General features: G+C 33.6%; 1 long non-coding RNA gene across 1 annotated transcript; it reads left to right on the forward strand.

Annotated features, from left to right (window-relative positions):
• On the forward strand, positions 1-11043 carry LOC105370239 (uncharacterized). The gene is made up of 6 exons (XR_942029.1): positions 1-80; positions 2073-2158; positions 3016-3074; positions 6468-6575; positions 9309-9384; positions 10957-11043. It is a non-coding gene; the product is annotated as an uncharacterized LOC105370239 (long non-coding RNA).
• Positions 11044-14751: the final 3708 nt, after the last annotated feature.

A 14751-nucleotide genomic window follows, 5' to 3' on the forward strand; every position in this document is an offset into this window, starting at 1 on the left:
ATTTTGTACAAATGAAGAAACTGAGTTAAAGAAAGATTAAATGTCCTGAACGATACCAATAACTAATGACTGATGGGGTGGTAAGCCTAGAATTGTATCTTAATTGGTGACACTCAAGACCCTCATGGTAAAACACTTTTTATATGCCTCTCATGGACTCAAATATAAAGGAAGAAGTCACCATACCAAAAATCCATAAACCCAATCACCACTCTCCCAGTAGAAATCTCTATTTAGTAGTAATATATTTTTTCTTTTGACATTGAAAAAGTATCACTTGAAGTGCTTTTAAAAGATATTTCTTTTTCAAGTTAAAATAAAAAGTTATAGAGCACTAAGAAAGAAGTCACATATTTGCAGTTGATATAATTTAGGAAATATTTCACCAAATTTCTAATGAATTTTACCTTGTTTACTTACAGAAATTCAAATTCCACATACCAAAATATTTAAATAGAAATCAATAATTTTAAATATAAAGGAAATATAGACATGACTAGCCTACATATAAGCTCATAATACTGTCATGTGCCAGGCTACATGAACAGTGTACACATAGTACTGTTACACATAAGCACATAATACATAAACACATGATACTGCTAAAAGAGGGACAGTCACTTTGATCATTTTAAGTGAAAATTTAAAATAATTTATATTGAATTATAATTGTCAATTGTCATCTAGAGTAACTATATTTAAAAATATAGTTTAAGTTATTACCCTAAATAAAACTCTAGGTTATTGAAGATGGTCTTAAAATAAATTTAGTATAGTACTATCATTTTTATGAACATGATTTTGGTAGATTTTCTGCATAATTCTGTAATATTTCTTTATTAATTAAAGGTGTAATATGGGCATAAATTATGCTATGTAATTACTGCTTGACTCTCTAGGGCAATTCAATAGATTTCACAAGAAAGATTTGTACTATTCAAAGGGAATAGACTGATTTTTTTTGAAGAGTTTCAATACCAAAGAATACGCCACATGTCTTTAAAAGTCACACAAGTGTGTATACCTAAGGATGTAAGGGGAGATAGTGTTTTCCATTCTATTTAATTTTTCAAGCAAAAATGGTACTAACAATAGTCTATATGTTAATTTAATCTTTTAAAAATTGGCTTTGAAAAGACTAAAAAATAAACTAGACATACCCTATACTTTGTAAAACATATACAAATTTTGAGGCATATCATAAAATTCATTAATGTCATGTGTACAATTCAATACTTATCATAAAAGTCTTTTAAAACATTTTGTAACCTCAATAATCTTGTCCATTAACTGTTAATTCTCATTCTCTCACCTCTTCCCTATTTCTTGCACCAGGCAACCAGTATCTGCACTTCCTTGTCTAACTTGTTACTTTGAGATTTTAGACTTACAGAAAAATTATCAAAATTCAGAGATTAACATTGGTATGGTGTATTAGTCTGTTCTCATGCTGCTATAAGGACATACCTGGGTAATTTATAAAGGAAAGAGGTTTAATTGCCTCACAGTTTGGCATGGCTAGGTATGCCTCAGAAAACTTACAAGCATGGTGGAAGGGGAAGCAAACACATCCTTCTTCACAAGGCAGCAGGAAGGAGAAGATTGTGGGCAAAAGAGTTAGCGGTGGGGGGAAAACCCCTTATAAAACCATCAAATCTCAGGAGAACTCATTCACTATCATGAAAATAGTATGAGGGTAACCACCCCCATGATTCAATTACCTCCTACTGGGACCCTCCCACAACACCTGGGGATTATGGGAACTACAATTCAAGCTGAGATTTGGGAGGAGACACAGCCAAACCTTATCATATGGTATGATGAACTGAACAGCAGAATTTATTTGGATTTCACCATTAATATTCATTTTCTGATTTGGAATCTAATCTAGGATTGTTTTATTTCTCATCTTCCTGTGATAAGTAGAATTAAGCTCGTCCTCTCTTCTTCCCCAAGATGTTGTTCTTTAATCCCCAATACCTGTGAATATTTTACTTGACATGGTAATAGACTTTGCAGATGTGATTAAAGGTATAGGTGCTGAGTTAGGCAAATTATTCTTTATTTTCCAGGTGGGTTCTTTCTTATTGCATGAATCCTTAAAAACAGAAAATTGTTCCTGGGCGTAGTCACAGATCGATGTGAAGATAGAAGACAGGTGAGAGAGTTGTGAAGTTGTTTGCATGAAAGATAAGGAAAATGGGTCAAACCAAAAAAGGTTAGTCATCCACTGGAAGCTAGAACAGCCAAGGAACTATATTTTATCCCAGAACCTATATAAAGAAACACAGCCCCGCTAACACCTTCTTTTAGCCCATGAGAACCATGTCAAACTTCTGACGTACAGAAGAGTAAGACATTAAACTTGCGTTAAGCTACTAAATTTGTGGTTTTTTTTTTTTTTTTTTTTTTTTTACAGCAGCTTAGGGAATCTAATAGTTTTCTCCAATCTGTGACAAAATTCAGTGTTCCATTACATTTTATGATCTTGATATTTTTTAGCAGTCAGGTCATTTATGTATAGAATGTTTCTTAAGTTTTGTTTCTCTGACTTTTTAATGATCAGATTGGAAAGGACACCACAAAACTGGTTTGCCCTTCTCCGTGCATAAATCAGGGAGTTACATGGTGTTAACCCAGGCATTGTTTATGGTATTGACCTTGAGCAATTAGTTAAAACAGTATCTGCTAAAATTATACACTGTACATTTACTAGTTTTCTTTTATAATATAGTTTATAATTCTCATTTTGGAATTCCATTGGTGATTTTCTATCCCTCATACTTTCTACAATTTTAATTGGGTCTCTTCTCTAAAGAGTTGTGTCTTTCTTTCTTCCACTCTTTCTTTCATCAGCAGGGAATCATGAGTGCTTATTTTATTCTTTAGGTTATAATTCAATGTTATCATTATTGATTTTGTTTGTCAAGGTATTGTAAGTTTGCTGTGGGGAAAATTTTCAGGTTAGTTCCCTATGCACTTTTGACATTCCCCTGTTTTCTTTTCTTTCTCCAGCACCAGAATCAATGAACTCTGCAAAGATCCTGGACTCCTTCTCCTGCTGCATAATAAAGGTCTGGGCACTGGGTCTGCTTCTTGCTCCTGGGGTATTACTGATGGATTTTGAACTATAGAAGGGAAAAATGTTCTTCAGTGATTTTTAATATTAATGCTCAGAGTGACTATTGGGTTAGAGAAGCAATTTACACAGGAGTTTAGTTTAGAGAAGCAATTTACACATTAATTTCTGTTGTCTTGAGTCATTTATTTTTTATTTCTATTACTCTGAAATTTTAATCAGAAACCACAGTTTTTATTGTGCTTATTATCATTGTGTAAAATGAGCACAATGCTATAGTAGGGATATTCAAGAAAACAATCATTGTTGCAGAGCATTATTGATGATTATGTTTTGGAGCAAGATAAAATTAAGCATGAAAAATATTATTGTAAAAGAAAAATATAATTAAATATCAAAGATTATCTCAAATAACTATGATAATAATGTTGTTCTTAAAGAACTTAAATCCTGGGCAAACTACTTCCACTGTCAGTCCTCAGAGCTGTCATAAATAGCCTTGTATGTGCTTTTAGTATTGATTTGTACTAGGGTCTTTGGAAATTTTACTTCTTTAGTCAAAACTATTGATAGTAGAAGCTTAGAACTTCATATCCTAAAATAGGTCTTGACTTCAGGAAAGTGGCTTGACACCCAAGTAAAAACTTTTACAGTATTACTTAACTTTATTAAACTTTAGGAATTTTATTTAAAATTAAGAATAGCCGGGCGCGGTGGCTCACGCCTGTAATCCCAGCACTTTGGGAGGCCAAGGCGGGCGGATCACGACGAGGTCAGGAGATCGAGACCATCCTGGCTAACACGGTGAAACCCCGTCTCTACTAAAAATACAAAAAATTAGCTGGGAGTGGTGGCGGGCGCCTGTAGTCCCAGCTACTCCGGAGGCTGAGGCAGGAGAATGGCGTGAACCTGGGAGGCGGAGCTTGCAGTGAGCCGAGATCGCACCACGCAGTCCAGCCTGGGCAAGAGCCAGACTCCGTCTCCAAAAAAAAAAAAAAAAAAAAAAAAAAAAAAAATTTATATATATATATATATATATATATATATATATATAAAAGTTGATTTTGTAAGGGTTGGTTTAAATGCTATAGTTCATTCATATATATAATTTTGGAACATTCTTTAAATCGGTATCTTGTACCTCCATATATTCTTAACGATACTGCAGTTAAATTGGTTTTGTTTTAAATGAATTGCTCAAATCTGCTGTGGAATCAGAATAAACTAGATAGACAAACTTTTTGGCATTATTTTCCTGGGAAGGTCAGAAATATCTGAATGAGAGTCTAAGGAGCTCTTCTATGAGTAAAATGCATAGACTTTGGTGCTTAATCCTTATATTATCTAATTTGGCAGCTCTGAGAAATTATTTGTTCTGTGCTTCTTATTTGCCCCAAATTGAACTCTTTCATGCTTCAATGGGTGCTTCTAATTTTAATGTATTTTTGGTTGGATGACTATGCCTTGCTAATCCTATCCACATCCCCCATTAGTTTATTAAAGACTCAGCAGTCATAATTTCAAAAGGCTTAGTTTTATTAGACAAACAATTTTAATACTTTTAGCCTCTCCTCAAAAAGCAGTTACAGTGTCTTTCTGCTCCTCTATACCCAAGGTGGAAATATTGCTTATCATTTACACTTGGAGAATATTGAACGTGAAAGGGGGTACTAGTGGGCTACAGGACAAGTGAAATATGCATTGGAGTACATAAAGTCTATTGATTATGCTACATATACAACTTTTATAATTTTAAATAACTAAGTTTTTTAAAATCAGATTAGTATTCCAATAAGGATGCGCTATAGTTTATAAAAGGGATCAAATTATTTGCATTTAATATCAGGATTTTACTTTTGTCAAGGTTTTTTTTGATAAGAGGAAGCTTTACCAGAGTTTCTCTTTCTGTCTTATTCTGTTTTCTATCAATTACCAGGAACCATGAGTTGCTCAAGCTACTTAGATTTTTTCATGTAATTGTCCAACATATGCATGATATTTATATGATTACATGTTTTCATTTGAGAAATCCAAAGCTAGGAGAATTTAAGTGTAATTTCTAAAACTTCTGATAGAACAGAGGTTCAGATTTGCAATCAAGTGCCATATCATTTCAAATCCTCCTTCACAAATCTCATGGAAAAATAGTATTATTACATTTATATTTTAGGTTTCCTCAACTTTAAGTTTCACAATTTATTAAATATTAATTGTTCAAAGACAAAAAGTGTGGAGCATATGAGACTATACCCTAAAGCTATATTCCTCAGATGAAATCACAGCTCTGCTACCTACAAGCTATGTGATCTTGGAAAAGTCACAAGTTTTCTGCCCTGAGTTCCCTTATTCTATGAACCCTCCCAGAGGAACCCATAGTTGTTTTGAAGAATAAATCAGTTTATGTAATTAAAGTATTTATCTATTTTATAATAAGTTTGTTACCATATGTGAAGTGTTTATATTTATTTCATTCTAATTTTGAACTGTAATTAGATTTAATATATCTAATAAATATGTTTAGTTATAGCTAATTAAAATATAAAAATTTATATAAGGAAATATAAATATATTCATACATATTTTATCAGCATTATATATATGCATGTTTTTAAGTAATATATCCTTAGAAGTATATCTGCTTATATATTTTACAAATGTGCATATGTAACTATAAGAGGTATATATTTGTAAATAAATAAATATAAATATAATATATAAGGTAAGTGAAAAATACTTTACAACAATTTGGATAATATATGTAAAGTGCTAATATTTATTACATCTTAGTTATTTTGATACTTCATTACTAGGAAGAAGTCTATGTTATCTACAAACTTAGAAGTTTTCACTTTAATATAATTTCTACTCTGCTGAGAAAAATATTCATAAGAAACTGGTCACAGAATGGGACAAAGGGGAAATGTTGCCATTTATTTAGATGCTACAATAAGAATATACCTATAATCTTTGTTCCCATCTTCATATCCTAAATCAATTCCTCATTCATCTACGTATACTTCATTAATCTCATTAACCCTATTTTAAATATGGTGTACTTTAGAACACTGCTGTTATTGAAAATTTGAATAAATAAAACATATCCTTTGGTTATACTTTTTCTCCATGCTTCTTATCCCTTCAAAACAAAAATTTAGAAAATTGTCATTAAAGCTACTTTTCTTTTGAGATGCTGTCATACACTCCTCAGAAAAATGGTGCAAAGTTGGTATAAAGTTCAGGCAAAATAACAGCAAGAACAACATAGTTGAAATGTGGTGTCAGGGCACTCGCCCAAGCCTGGAGAATTGCCAGTGATATAGCTGTGGTATAAACCCATATATGCTTGGCTCCAAAGCTACTGTCTTTTCACTGTGTTGATTTTTCTCAGGAAGTGAAATTCTGCTTCATCGATGAATAACAGGATTTTATATAAAACTTTGAATGACATAGGAGGGACAATTTGCATAGAACAACAAGTCCTCAAACTGGCCACAAGGTATTTATAATGTATAAGCTAGGTTGTAAATTTTGTTATATTTTTCATGAAAAATACAATTTATGCAAATTTATTTTTCTTACTAAAACCATGGATCAAATAAGATGTGTGTGTGTGTGTGTGTGTGTTTAAAGAAGTTTAAAATTGTTAGATGAAAAAAATCATTAAGAATATACTAAAATATGTCAAAATCATGTACATTTTGATTTGCAAACTGAATCTTGGTACAATTTAGGTCAAACTGTTTATATTCCCTATGGATTAAGTAAAAGCATAATATGTACTAAATAAATTGTTCAAGGTCTCATGGTAAATTTTATGAAATCCTGAATGAGAACATACTTCCCCTGACATTAAAGAGTTGTTCTTTATTTATTCCTAATGCATTGCCTATACATTTTTATAATTTAGAGAAGTATGTTACATAAATATTAGTATATGCAAAAACCAAATAACTATAAAATACACATGACAACTCTGCTGTCAGTTTGACCTATATAAATTAATGTGCCACCTCTAATAAGTAAAAAATAATTACTATGTAATAACTTTTCTCAGAAATAAATACTTTCATTAATGTGGTCATAGATGTTTTGTATGTCACATGTGTATTTCATAAGTGCAAGTTATTTAACAAATAAAAGTTCGTAAGAGTTTAAGAAGATTCTTAGCTGCAAGGTGAAATCCCTGTAATAATTGCATAGTTAATAATCACTATTAATTATAATTTGACCTTATTCATGAGGATTGAATAAGCTATAATGTCTGGAATTTTATTAAATGCAGAGGCTCTGAATTAAGAAATATTTTTTACAATTTGCTAGCTATGTTATCTTAGAAAATTTATTGTTCTTTCTGTGCCTCTCATTTTTCTATAACATGAGAATTATAATACGGGAGAAGCTGATTATGAGGAATAAAAAGTTCATCTGCAGCATTTCCAAAACACTGCTTTGTTTTTGGCCTTATTTCTTTTCTTTTAAGTTTTATGTAGCATATACCTTTGTAAATTTTTTATAAGACTTCATTAAATACATTTTTAATGAGGCTAGACTGTACCAAAAAACTGTTGGCATTTTGAGTTTTGCTTTATATTTACCTTTCTTGCTGAAACACTGCCATTTTCTAGAATTGTGACTGTCTTAACAATGAGAAAAAATAGTGTGTTCTCCATAGTATTATGACACTCATGCAATCAGTTTTTGGAGGAAGTGGTCTACTTGACACGGTGAGGTGCTTAAGTCAGCTCTGCCTCTAGCAATATCTACCAAACAATATTTCTTCTGCTGATGTATGTTTCTCTAGTGGAAAGCAGTTTTATGATATCGGATAGCAATGATAACTCTTGGTAATGTTAACTTTCCTGTGTACCCTAGGAAGATAAGTTTTTATAAGCAATTAACACTGATTTCTTAATATAGTAGAAAAAGCTATAACATTTATATGTGTTTCACAGTTACCATTTCTCTACTTTTCCTTCTTGTCAAGTGTGAGTTTAGTTTAGTGACCAACTTGGATCTTATAGCTCATCTAGAAAGTAGTAAGTAGAAAGTATCTCTGAAGTTACTTTAAACTGTTATCTCCTAAAGTTACTACTATTTCTCTTTAAATGACTACTCCATGATAGTTATGCATATTTTTAAGGCCTTACCCTACCTAGCTTAGATTTGGTCTAAGTCACCAAATTTCTCCGTTAGCAACTGATTTCAACTCAGTATTTATAAAGGATATTCATTGCCATATGAGATAACCTCAATGACCTGGAAGAATTTATGCAATATATAAATGAAGATTATATATTTCTTCTGTGTAAGAAAGTTAGAATATAGAAAAAAGTTTTTGCAAGCAGTAGAACAAAATATTTGTTAAAATAAAACATGAAACATTATTAAAACAAAAGGCTATATTAAGTGCAAAAGAGGGTAAATACACATTTTTAAAAGAATAGCAGACAAGTTTAAAGAGATATAACTTGAAGTAGTGTGGACATAAGCATATATCAAGATGCATTCAAATCTGTATCAATATAACTTTGCTTTTATTATATTTAATGTTATAATTTCAATGTATCTTCATATCAGGGAAGTGTTAATCCTATTCTAATTTTTCAGAAAAATAATTTCTTCTTGACTGAGGGCTGATGATGCTTTTTATTTTAAATATAATAGTTAATAATAAACAGAAAATCAGAAAACCAAAATGAATGTTCTTCAGGAGAATTAATGATAAATTACACTCAATAGATTTAAACACTACTCACTTTATAAATTTTATTTTTTAAAATTATACTTCAATTCTGAGGTCTCTTAAGGAACATTGTGCTTTAACTGAATGTATGTATCCTACAACGGTTGTTTTACCAAACAAGAACATCTTGAATGTGTTTATGTTGTAGACACATTAATGGATTTTTCATATTAAAAATACCAAGACATTTCCAGATTAGAACGTTGTCTAATTCAAGGCAACCTAACATCAATATTGAATTATTACTAAAATTTGTGTGTTCCATAAGTATTGTTTAATCAATGAATTTTTTTATTGTTAAGAACAATATTAGATTGAGATATATTTAAGATAGAGGATAATTTCTCTTAAATCTTCTCAGTTAAGAGCACCAGGAAAATTAATAGACATATTATATTTACAAGCAAACTTTTCAAACTTTCTTCTACCCTTTCTTTGCTATTATCCTTGCCTCTGAGTGTTAATTCATCATTCTTTTTTTGTCAGCTGTCTGCACTGTTATTTGAGGATTTCCAAAATGCCAGAAGGTGCACTAACAGCTGTAGATACTTGAGTCAACAAGGTAACATCAGTTGATTTTGTTCTAGACAATACACAGATACATAATTGCACAGAGTACATGTTGTGGAGGCACTTGGCACATTTCAAAATATAACTTTTTGTTATTGCACTAAGTGCCTGAAGCGGCACAGAATTTTCACAATAATATTTCTGCCCCCAATTATTTTTTAAATTCTGAAAGTTTGGGGATCAGGTATTCTTCAAGAGTCACAATAAAAAATGTAATTCTCATAATACTTGGATAAGTTACTAAGCAATCTAACCTCTGCATTGCTCTACTTCTTAAATGCACTTCAGTGAATGAAACTGAATGTCCCTATTCAGGAAACATGCTCATGGCATCGGTGGCGTTATACCACATATATGCATGTTGTTAATTTAAAGTTTAGATAAAAAAGCAATCTCTAATTTATTTATGGTATAAAAAGAAGAGAGATAGAACTAGTCACAGATATTGTACCTAAAGAACTTCAATGTCTAAAGGGAAATTTAACTCTGATCCTTTAAGAGTAATCCTGTAAGTTATTAAATTAAACTATATCTATATAGTGTTAGTTATAAATTTAGAAACCTAAGTTTCCCAACTCATATTATTTGAGGGTATAGTCACTCCAGTCTCTCAGAGAATATGCAGAACATACATCTCTGGTAGATCCATCATCACCTGAACTGATTGGATTAGAGTGTACTGAAAGTTTAAGAGGCTACCTTTAAAGTACTAGCAAATGGAGTGATCAGTTAGTGAGTTCAATTTTCCAGATTCCAGGTAGGATGCAAAAACACCTTGGTCTGTGGCAGGCTGTGCCCCTAGTGAATACAATAGGAAAGCAAACTGAAAGCATCCTGAAGAATACAGAAAGCTAGAACCAGGTCAGAAAATCAAAAGTAAGAACACGGAACAGTCGTTCCAGTGACTACATAGAAATCAGTCAGGAGAAATAACTAAAGAGTCAGGATTCAGGCTTACATTTCATGTGATGCTGGAGATGAAAAAAAAAAAAAAAAGACAGCACTTAAATTTCTTCCACTTTAAAAATTATGTTTGTTTGGTATTTCCTCCTTTACCAATTCTGGCTTACATTTTTATTTTTAGAGGTTAGTTCACCTTACCCTTTAAGAAGTTATGATCTATAATATCACAGTCAAGAACACTTTCTGTAAACTCCAACAAAAATGGATTACTAGAGGAGTCTAACTTGTTTTAAAATCATGTCATAATGTATTATCAACCTTGTAAAGTCTTGCACATATGTATACATATTTGAGAGGAACCTGCATTTGTATAATTTCATAGATGTATAGCATCACAAACGTATTAAAAATATTATATATATGCCAATATAATTGTATAAACATGTATTTTTATTTGATGGCAAAAGTTGGTTCATAAGCTGGGAGAAATAATTTTCTCCATGATGTTCATTAGTTTATATGTTCATGGGATAATATTCTAATTCATTTTCTAAGTGTATTGTATTTAAGCTTATGTCTAAGAATTTTTTTGAATCTAATTTAAGAAGTTTTCATAATTCACTATTTGAAAACATATCACTCATTTTTTTCTTCCTTGCAGAAACTTCTGTACTTTTTCTCTCAAGGTCATACAGCCCTGAATCTGATAGCAACAGAGCTTCAGCAATAACAGCAGATGCCATCTTAGATTAATGTGAGTGAATGCTTTTTCACAATTTTTATAGTTTCTCTTCTTTGCACCCATTTCGTCAGGGAACAATGTTGGGTTCAATGCTGGGTGCCCTAGAGGTGCCCTAGAGTTATTTTAACGAATTCAATTTGCTTTGCTTTTCATGTAAGCACGGTTTTTCTTCTTAGATATTTTTTGGAGGTAATACGAGAAACTATTTCTTACATAAAATATTTTTAAAAGTTTACTCTTTATATAAGCCTTCATTATAGAATCATAGAATTAAAAGACCAGAGACTATAGAGATCATCTATTTTACTTTTTCTCAAGGATAATAGACAGAGGTTTTTGCCTTACCACCACTCATTTCTATTTTTTCTTTTCTTGAATGCAGTGATTCTCACCTGCTTTGCCCACTTTTCCTATTTCTTCTTTAAGTCAGTAGTGGAGAATTTAACTAGTTTACTTTTTTGTAGTATATTTTGAATTATGAAACACTAAAGTGGTTTTAAGTCCTCATTTCACATAAAGAAACTACATTGCAGAGCAGCTTAGCTATTTAACGAAAGAGCACACAAACACCTAGTAGCAGAAGAAGGTCCTGAATGGCTCAGAAATGCAGGGCTATTTCCCCCTGTGAATTCTAACCTAGGAAGTCTACACATGAAGCCGGAGCTTTGACTCCTTTCCTACTGCACATAACTGTTTGGAGACGGAGTCTTAGCCTGTCGCCCAGGCTGGAGTGCAGTGGTGTGATCTCAGCTCACTGCAACCTCTGCCACCTGGGTTCAAGTGATTCCCCTGCCTCAGCCTCTGCCTCCTGAGTAGCTGGGATTACAGGTGCCTGCCACCACGCTTGGCTAATTTTTTTGTATTTTTAGTAGATATGGGATTTCACCATCTTAGCCAGGTTGGTCTTGAACTCCTCACCTTGTGATCCACCCATTTCGGCCTCCCAAAGTTCTGGGGTTACAGGCGTGAGCCACCGTGCCCGGCCAGAGCATTTTTCATATGCTTATTGGCCATGTGTATGTCTTATTGTGAAAAAATGTTTATGTCCTTTGTCCACTTTTTAAATAGGGATACTTTTTGTTCCTGTTGTTTGTAGATTCTGGATATTAGTTCTTTGTAAGATGCATTGTGTGCAGATACTTTCTCCCATTCTCTAGGTTTTCTGTTCACTGTGTTGATTATTTCTTCTGCTGTGCAGAAGCTTTTAAGTTTGATAAAGTCCTATTGGTCTATTTTTGTTATTGTCGCATTTGCTTTTGAGGTCTGTCTTAGTCTTGAATTTTTGCCTAGACCAATATCTAGAAGAACTTTTTCTAGGTTTTCTTCTAGTATTTTTATAGTTTTAGGTCTCACATTTACGTCTTTAATCCATCTTCAGATTTTTGTATATGGTGAGAGATAGGAATCTAGTTTCAGCTGCCTATTTAAAGAACTATGATGTAGCTGAGATTTTTCAGTGTACTTGAAAGCTAGCAAGTTAGCCTGACACCATTACATGGATGTTGATAGAAGAGCCAAGACTCTTGGGTCAGATACAAAGGTCCTTATTCAGAAATTACAATAGCCTCAGCCACAGTCATACAGAGTAATGTCAAGAGGGCCAGGTGAGACATGCACATGTAATGTGATGCATTATAGGAGAGGGACCTGAAACTTAGAGAAACCCACTTTTACAATAGGCAGTAAATATGCCTTCTTTGTTCTGGAGGAAGTCACTAATACTACATGTCAAGCTCAGAAAAGTTTGCTCTTTGCTATGGAGAGAAATACTGTATCTTTCAAGGCAGTTAAACGTTCTTGAAAACATATTTAATAAGGATTTTTTTAAAAATGGCAATGAGCAATCAGTGTCACAGCTCTCAAAATGTACAGAAACATAAGAGACCCAGGGATCATTGTCTCCCACCCACCCCTTTCTACACAATGACAATGTCTTAATTGTAAGAGCAAAAAAAATAGCATGACAGTTTAAATTGGAACATGCCATTTTTATTTTGTCAGTATAAACTGTCTATTGTTACAGGATCAACCAGTATGTATTATTGTTTTAAGGAATATATTCATGGATGCACTTAGAACATTTTTTTCTGCCACTTTTGTTTGTTCATTTGTTTTCATCTTGTGTTCTATTGCTCCAGTTTAAGTCAAACTTGTAATATAAGGTTTCTTAACTTCCTCATAGACTGAGAAAGAGATTCTGAGTTTTACTAAGAATTACCTTGACTCACAGCTTAGCTATTACAGAGTAGATAGGAACATGTGGCAATTTGTTGGGGTGATCAGACCCAACACCAGGTTGTGGGGTTGACAAAGTTCGGTGCAGTCAAAGGATTGAGAAAAAGACAGTTTGAGAGAGAAATGTGGAACACCAGAGGGCCATCACTATCGTGGAGGCTGCGAAGGCCCCGAGTTCTGGGAGCCCACGGTATTTATTGGTAATCCAACAAAGAAACGGTGAGAATGTGGAGGTCAAAAGGGCACATTGCATTAAGCACATGATTTACAGCTGTGATTGTTTAGCATTTATACTGAACATGTTCTGCTACTTGAGATAATGGGAATAGGAGCCTAGGAGCAAGGAGCCAGCAAGTCTAGACACATTCCAGAGGACATTATGCAATCCCTGCCTCAGTTTCCCTCCCAACACTCAGCTTTTTCCCAACATGCCCCCCCTTCTCTTTTTTGTAAAAGAAGGTATCATTATTACTAGCTATCATTATTACTAGCATAAAAGGTAGCCTTTTAATTGAGCAAGGCGATTGCAGGCTGTGCAGCCCTTAATTGCAGGCTGGTGATCCAGCTTCATTTTTCTTAGCCCTTATTCAAACTGGAGTCACTCTGGTTTGAATGCTTCCCACATATCTCCCCTTTCCCTTTTACAAGAGGACCCTTAATCCTAGGGGTTTGCAGAAGGATGAAGGTCCGTCTTCTGTAACTCCTTCCTGCTGAATAGGGGCGATGATATTCCTGCCTATTAGGGTCTCTTGTATTCAGGGTAGAGAGGTGCTGAGTCAGAAAGCATTGGTCCATTAAGCATTGTGACTCCAGTTGGTCCTTGTTCCATCTTCGTATTCACATTCAACTGGCTCATGGCTCCTACTGGGGGAACCCAGTCCATGGTTGTGATCCATGGGTCCCTCCAGTTTCCTGTTACATGGTTGTACACATCTTGAGGACATCCGCACGGTTCATTCATCTCATGTAAAAAACACAAGCATACTCTCACCCCCATGTTAGTAAATCTACTGAAACAGAAGCAAAAACTTCTGTGGCTGTAGCTGGGAGGCATGCCATTGCTGAAGCATTTGTTAACTCCATTTCTGCCTCTTTCGTTAATTACCATGAGGTAAAACTTTCCAATGATAATGAGAAACAGGCCTTTTTTGATTAACAGAAGGCATAGAGAAAGCAAATTGAGGCTTTTCAAACCTGCAATTCTCACTGTACATGTGGGTCCACTAGATGCTGTGGCTTATGATAGATCTTCAGATGTTTGGTGGGCACCCACATAGGCATCTGATTGTCACCTGGACAGACACAAGCAAATCCTCTTCCCCATAAAATTATCTTTAGGTGGGGATCAGAGGAAGTAGACTCAGAGGTAAGGAGAATTTTGGGGACTAATGGTTTCCTGATGTTTCATAGGTGTTCCCTTGGAAGTTAGGAATTCCCTTTCTCTCCATATTGCTGCGTGGGCATGGAGGACTAGGTAAG

The sequence above is a fragment of the Homo sapiens genome, chromosome 13 (assembly GCF_000001405.40).
Source record: "Homo sapiens chromosome 13, GRCh38.p14 Primary Assembly".
Taxonomy (NCBI): Eukaryota; Metazoa; Chordata; class Mammalia; order Primates; family Hominidae; genus Homo; species Homo sapiens.